The 7,685-nt window shown below is 35.4% G+C and overlaps 1 protein-coding gene across 2 annotated transcripts in view; it reads left to right on the top strand.

Annotated features, from left to right (window-relative positions):
• Positions 1-7,685, top strand: part of PLCXD3 (phosphatidylinositol specific phospholipase C X domain containing 3) — a 203,650-nt gene that overhangs the window by 121,412 nt on the left and 74,553 nt on the right. The window contains exons 1-2 of one of the 2 annotated variants that reach the window (XM_017009438.3): positions 6,048-6,270; positions 6,656-7,364. In XM_017009438.3, coding sequence (XP_016864927.1) covers positions 6,769-7,364 — 596 coding nt within the window. In that variant the 5' untranslated portion in view covers positions 6,048-6,270; positions 6,656-6,768. Of the gene's footprint in view, positions 1-6,047; positions 6,271-6,655; positions 7,365-7,685 lie in introns of those variants that run through there. The other variant, NM_001005473.3, reaches the window with a different exon arrangement.

Genomic DNA, 7,685 nt, shown 5'->3' with positions numbered 1-7,685 from the left:
CACCAGCACATCAATAGGCTTTAACTGGTTTCTCTGTCTCCAGTATTTTCTGATCCAAGTCATTTTTACTTAGTTCCTCCAGTCTAATCATTCCAGTGGACTAAATCAGAGGCCTTCCTATCAATTAAAAAAAAATCAAGCAAGTAACTGTGATAGAAGTATATTTATCCATAAATTTTATGAGTGTGCTTGTATATATGTATAAATATTATAAATACATTTATATATAAATTATACAAGCATTACTATACTAATGAAATATAAAATATATGTTTTTTTAAAACATATTTCCTACTGTAGTGTTATTATTCTATTATGAACTGGTATTACAAAACATGGTACATACATAGGGTGAAGTTCATAGTTAATAGTAAAAGTGAATCCACATATCAGGTAGTCTTCTTGGTAATTTAATATTATTTTGGTTGTCTTTCTATTAGCTAAAATTATAATACAGTAATATGACTAATGAAAAGCTCATAATAAAAGTATAGGTGTCAGTTTTAGTTTTCTTATTTACTTAATTGAATTATCTTTAGTCTGGTCCTTTTTTATGAAAAAGAAAAAAACTTCTAAAACCACATGTCTATTTTGGGAGTGCTTGGATAATTAAACTCTGCAAGTCTAAAGTCTACTTAACCAGCCAGTATATTACAGCAAACTGCAATGCAGCACAATCTGATCAAATGAATGAGGGTACCATTCAGGGCAGTGGAATTCTCACTGTTTTTAAAAATATCTTGAGTACTGAATATGGTATCTGGCTATCCTGGAGGTGACAGTGGCAGTACAATGTTATTAATGCTTAATTTTTATTATTTTAAGATAAATATATAAATAAAAATAGAAGTGCACATGTTTTCCTTCCACATCCAGATCAATTGCCTTTACTTCCACTGCCTAATTGTAAGTGCCTTGAACACAGCTGATGCTCAGTAAATGTCTGTTGAAAGAATGAAGGAATGCTATTTGGTATAAGGTTTTATTTGTTTGTCTCTATGCCTAACTTCCCTAATTAAATTATAAGACTCTTGAGGGCAAGGATTGTATGTATTTTTTTTTTTAGTTTCCAACTAGTCCACAGCAAGAAACTAAGGCAAAATTAGCCAGATGAAAATGGTCCCATTATGTACCCTGTTTAGTGTGGCTCCCAAGAGCCATTTATCATTTAACCCAAAAAGCAAGGCTACTTTTGCATTTAGTCTAGTTCTTTAAAAATTATTTGCATAAGCCCATTGATATTAATAATCAATGATCAAACATTTTCTCCTCTCTACCCCATGCTACACAATAGTGCCTAAAAAATCATTACCAAAATGTATTATAATTATTTATCTATGTGCATCACATATTAAGCTGTAAATTTATGAGGATGAGAACAATGCTTGTCTTATACTTAGCATAATAACAGCACTTATAGCAGGTGCTTGATAAATGTTTTACTGAATGAGAAATTCATTAGTTTAAAAATAAGAACATTTCTTTCCATCAGGTTGGTAGACCATTTTACTTGAAGAAAACATTTACAAAATAGAACTAGTAGTACATATAATTTTTTACACAGAGAGACTAACTTACTTCCAGTTACTGGGGGCCTTTAATCAGAATGATGTAATTGCCTCAAGTCATTCATATCCCTTTACACATAAAGTCTAAAAAATTACAGAATACTTGCAATAATTTTCTCAACTATACTGTAATACTCGTATGACACTACATATAGAGATGATCTTAAGTAGTGTCCAAATGTATTAGTTTTCTATTGTTGCATTAAAATTACCACAAATATAGTGGCTTAAACAATACAAATTTTCTCACAGCTTCTGTAAATAAGGACGATGGATATGAATTAGCTGGATCCTCTGCTCAGGATCATGCTAGAATCAGAAATCAGAGTGCTGACCAAGACTGCGATCTCTTTTGAGGCTAAGGTTCCTTTTGCAAGCTTGCTGGTTGTTCACAGAACGTGGTTTCTTGAGTTGTAGGAGCTCAGACCTCAGCTCCTAGAGGCTACTTAGTCACTATATTTTGAGGAAAACCTTTTCCCTTTCATCTTGGGTCCAGTGATTGGTGGCCTGCAAACTAACTGTCAATGGACAGATTAACAGATGAAAACACAAGGTTTATTTATACATGCATGATATGCAGATGGAGTGCTCAGTGAGGAGTAACTCCCTGAATAACCAGAAATAAAGGCTCATATACTAAACTTAACAAAAAGTTAAGATTTTAATTGGAAAAGTATGGAATGGTCTACTGGGCTTTATGATGCTTATGGACAGCTACATTTGCACTTCCTGGTGATAAGGATCAGTCTTTTTTTCAATCAGAAGGGGAGGCAATGGCAACTATATTTTCAGGAGGGTCTGCTTAAGTTTGAATAATATTTTTTCTGTTGCTGCTGATTGTTCAGATGCTGTCAGTTTAAATTGATGTTTATACCACTTTAGTGAGCTATTAATGACTTCCATTGCCGTATGGCCTTCTCTACAACACTGCATTTTGCTCTGTTGCTGCTTGTTGTCTCTTTTAAGAGCTTGTCTGCTCAAGTCAGGCCCACTCAGGATAATCTCTCTTTAATTAACTAAGAGCCAACTGATTAGGGACCTTAATTACATATTTTTAAAAGTCTCATTTCTATATAATGTGACATAGTCACAAGAAAAATATGAAACTCAAGCGGAGGGATTATATAGGTCTTGTCACCAGAAGGATGTTTTGGGGGCAATCTTCCTACCATACCAAATGACAGAATGAGAAGTTAAGTCCAGTACTACTGGAAATCATAAAATATAGAAATGATTACACACATTCTACACAGATAAGGTAATAAAATTGATGCTATGTGCCATTTGGTTAGGCCAGATGATATCTCAGATCATCCATAACAGCATGTGGAAAAAAGAAAGTCCATTTGTGAATTCAAGAATATTTTTTAAACCATCTTTAAAATTTTTCTCATACCTGATACAGTTTTCAAGCATAGAAACATGCATATAACATAACCATAGTTAATTTCTCTTCTTTGAAATTCCAACTCCTCCCTTTAGCCAGTTGGGTCTATTGGCCACAAGTCCCTTCATTAACTACAAAGAGATGCTATGGCCTGTATTAGTTAACTATTGCTGTATAACCAATTACCCCTGAATTTAGTGGCGTAAAACAACACAGAGTTTCTGTGTACGTCTATGAATCAGGAAGCTAAGCATTACTTAACTGGGTTCCCTGCTTCGGTCTCTCTCACAGGGCTGCAATCAAGATCTCACTCATGCAGGATTATTTCCAAGCTTACTCATTGGCTGTTAACAGGATTCAGTTCCTTCAGAGCTGTTAGTCTAAAGACCTCTGCTCCCAGCTGGTTTTGGTCAAGGGCCACTACAACCTCTGTGTCACATGGGCCTCTCCAACATGGCAGTTCACTCATCAAAGCAAGGAAAAAAGTAACAAGACAGAAGTTATAACCTTTTGTAACCTAATCTCAGAAGCGGCATCCCATCATGTTTGTCCTATGTAATTCATTAGAAGCAGGTCATAGGTTCAGCCCACACTCACAGAGAGGGGTATGAATGCAGGAGGGCAAGGATTGTTAGGTGCCATCTTAGAAGTGTGCTTCCCACAGTGCCTGAATGAGGGTACAATTTATCACACTGAGGAGAAACAAATTAAAGTGCTTATTTCCAAGAAATGAAATAAATAGTTGCTCTGATTACATTTATTTATTCAGAGCCAAAGCAACCAAGCTTGATGGGACTGGGTTTATAATGGGAGTGGTTAGCCCTTGTCTGAGGAGAGAGGGCAAATGGAAACTAAAGATGAGAAACTAAACTCAACATCAGAGGAGTAACATTAAGTACCAGGTCCAAGATATGAGTTTGAGACTGTGGATGAGAGAAGAATAAAAGGTCAGAAGCCCAAGAATACCAAGTCAATGTAGAAGCAAAATATCAGACCAGATATAGCCGAAAAGTTCAAGATCAAAGAGGACTCCTGGCTTTAAAGACACGAGGTTAGGCTTTTCCTCTCAATTATTGAATGGTTATGAAGTCCTGTTGTATTTTTGCTTTACATTCAAACAAATAGAAAACTTACTAGTTCAGTGAAAATGTTGAAATTGGGAAGTACTATTCCAAATAAAATTAAAAGTCATCAAAATATTCATTTTTTAGCCAACACTATATTATATATTTCTTACAAAATGCATAGATACTGTTTTGTATCTATTGGTTTTATTTTCTTGTCTAATAATATTTACAGTGTGAAGCACCATTTTATACGAGGTGCTGTGGCTACACCTCAGAGTCATGTGGCTCAAAACACATACTGGTGAAGCCACCATTGGTTTCTCCTTCTGCCTATTTTTATTTTTAACATTCCCTTATTTTGACCTTAAGAAGCTACTTTCCATGAAGATCAAGAAATCATGTGCTCTAGCAAGTATAATATCCTTTCACAGTGTTTTCAAAAGTGGTGATTTCCTTGCCTTTAAAATTTTATTTTTACAATTTTTTTACTTGCCACATAACCATGTGATAGAAAGGTGAAACTAAAGCCATATTGAAAACAGAGAACCACTCATTTCTAGTAAAAGAAATCTAGTTATACTTAATTCCCTTTTTGCCTGCCTCCAAGTATAATTTCTACTAGATTACAGAAGTAACCAATTACTTTCATCTACCTTTCCCTTCATGTGCCTGGAAACTAACTTTTTAAACTCTTATTTTGAGAGTTTAAATTTATTTTTAAATAAGTGTATTTATTACCTCTCCTAATCTTAGATCATTTAATCATAATTCTTCTTAAACTTTCTTTCATTTCTATCTGTAGACACACTTCTTTGTATATATTGAGTTTTAGCATCATTTGTTTAGCTTTCACTTCAATTAGCAGTCAAATGAATAGCAACTAATAAATCAGTATGCAGCAATTTAAATGCTTATTAAAATTTGCCAATCAGAACCTAACTCCCAGCTTTGCTTATTCAGAAAGGACTGACATTTTCTTGCCACACCATCTACTAAAGATAAGGCATGCAGTTTCAGATTAAATTAAACATGGCATTTCTGTATATTTGGGTTATCTTTTATAGTTTTTGAAAAAGGAAATCATTCTGAGAACTTATCTAAATTTTAAAGGTTATGATTTTCAGGGTATCAAAATATTTTACAAATTATTTTCTTTAACAACTTACCACAGTGTCTGAAATTTAGGCACTTGTGATTCTTATGGGCTGTTAAAGCTGGATAGAGAGATACATGGATATATATACATAAATGTAGAAATATACATAGATATGGAATATAGACGTAGGTATATATTGCATCACTGAAAAAAATGCTTCAAATAGCTTATAAGACCAAGGCTTTGAAGTGTTGTATGGATAAACTTAAGGTTTCTGTGTGTGTTTGTGTGTATTTATATGTATGTGAGTTTTGGGTTGGGGAGTGAAAGAACTAGGAAAAGATATGCCTCAAGGAAGGGAAATCAGGAATGGGGCAACAAAGTGCACTCAGAGGAAGCCTGAGTATCAGATAGGGAATGATGGTACTAGGACAAGGTCATGAAACAGGAAAGGGTGTCAGAATTTAAAGCATATCTACCCTCTAATGTATGAAATTTTTAGAATATGTTAATTTAATTTTAGCTCTTCAGTGGGTTATGCCTAAGAATAAAAGGAGGCTTTAAGAAATAAAATGCAACCTTGACATAACTTTTCTTTATTGGGTCCTAATAAAGAGTTTCAAATGGCACTCTCTATTTGTGACAAATCACACACATGTTCATTGCTACATTTCTGGAGTCTTGAAATTTGCAACTGCCAAAAATAATCAAATAAATAGTCCTTTTTCTTCCTAGGAAGAAATTCTTCTAAATTTAGAAGCCAATTCCCAAAAGAGTTTATGCTGTTGAGAGAAAATTTGTGAAGAAAAGAGTCTATTAGTTAATTTTTAAATGCTGTCAATTTTTAAATGCTGTTAATTTTTAAATGCTGTTGACTTGCAAGAACAGTTCATCATTTATTCAATATGTGAAAAGTACTTGACCTCATCTAAGTTTACAATTGCCCAAACACAAGGTCAGGAATGAAGTTAAATATGTCAGCATGGTACTGCCTTCTTGTCTTATTTCTCCTTTCCCCTATCACTTTGACCTCTTGTGCCTTCCGAAGTGAATGAGGTAACACTTCATATGCTGATTGCCTGTGAAAAGGGCATCTTTATTCATTGAGACAATCCTTCTAGGCTTAAAATCAACCCAAAATCAAGGAAAAGGGTAAGACTGCAAAGTATTTGGGTATTGGTGAGTCTTCATAGATATCGCTTTATGAATGATCACTTAAGTCACCCATAAGGAAAGCCAATTCTAGTGAGTGTATTACATTCTTGGTTCACAGAATAGATGATTATTTAAATTTTAAATTTAATTATAAGGAAATCTTCTTATTGTTTAATAACCAATTTGATCTATTGAAGTGTTCTGTGTCTTATGTCAATTTATATAAAGGACCCTCCTAAGGCATAAAAAATAACTAGTATTACATTTCTTAGTATTTTCTGTGGCTCATTTGAGGGAGAGGTATGGATATTGCAAGAGGGAAAGAAGGTGGGAAGGGCAAAGACGTGGAAATTAACCACACTATGCCTTGTTATTCTCCTAGGGTCTCATGATTCCTTCAGCTTCTACATTGATGAAGCCTCTCCAGTAGGTCCTGAGCAGCCAGAAACTGTCCAGAATTTTGTCTCTGTGTTTGGAACTGTGGCCAAAAAGCTCATGCGGAAATGGTTAGCCACTCAGACAATGAATTTTACTGGCCAGCTAGGAGCTGGAATTCGTTATTTTGATCTTCGAATTTCCACCAAGCCCAGAGACCCCGACAATGAACTCTATTTTGCTCATGGTTTGTTCAGTGCCAAAGTCAATGAAGGCCTTGAGGAGATCAATGCATTCCTCACAGATCACCATAAGGAGGTAGTGTTCTTGGACTTCAACCACTTTTATGGGATGCAGAAATATCACCATGAAAAACTGGTCCAAATGCTGAAAGACATCTATGGAAATAAAATGTGCCCAGCGATTTTTGCCCAGGAAGTTAGTTTAAAGTACCTGTGGGAGAAGGACTATCAAGTGCTGGTCTTCTACCATAGTCCAGTGGCTCTGGAAGTGCCCTTTCTCTGGCCTGGGCAGATGATGCCAGCACCCTGGGCCAACACCACAGACCCCGAGAAACTGATCCAGTTTCTTCAAGCATCCATCACTGAGAGAAGAAAGAAGGGATCGTTTTTTATATCTCAGGTGGTGCTGACCCCCAAAGCTAGCACTGTGGTCAAAGGGGTGGCAAGTGGCCTCAGAGAAACAATCACAGAAAGGTAAGTGTCTTTAAAATGTCAGGGGGAAACCTCAAATAATTTAACTTGAATTTATAGAGCTCATAAGTGATGAAGCTGAAATTATACCTATGTATATTAGGTCCCTGGGGCTGCAATAGCAAAGTACCACTAATTGGGTTTCTTAAAAGAATAAAAATATATTATCTCACAGTTCTGAAACCTAGAAGTCTGAAATCAATGTCAGCAGGGTTGGTTCCTTCTGAGGACTCTAAAAAAGAATCTGTTTCATGCCTCTCTCCTAGGTTCTGGTGGTGGCTGGGAAGCCTGAGTGTTACTTGGCTTATACATGCATCACTCCAG

Source organism: Homo sapiens, chromosome 5 (assembly GCF_000001405.40).
Source record: "Homo sapiens chromosome 5, GRCh38.p14 Primary Assembly".
NCBI lineage: Eukaryota > Metazoa > Chordata > Mammalia > Primates > Hominidae > Homo > Homo sapiens.
Note: the sequence above shows the minus strand (reverse complement) of the source record. Positions and strands in the feature narration are given on the sequence as shown.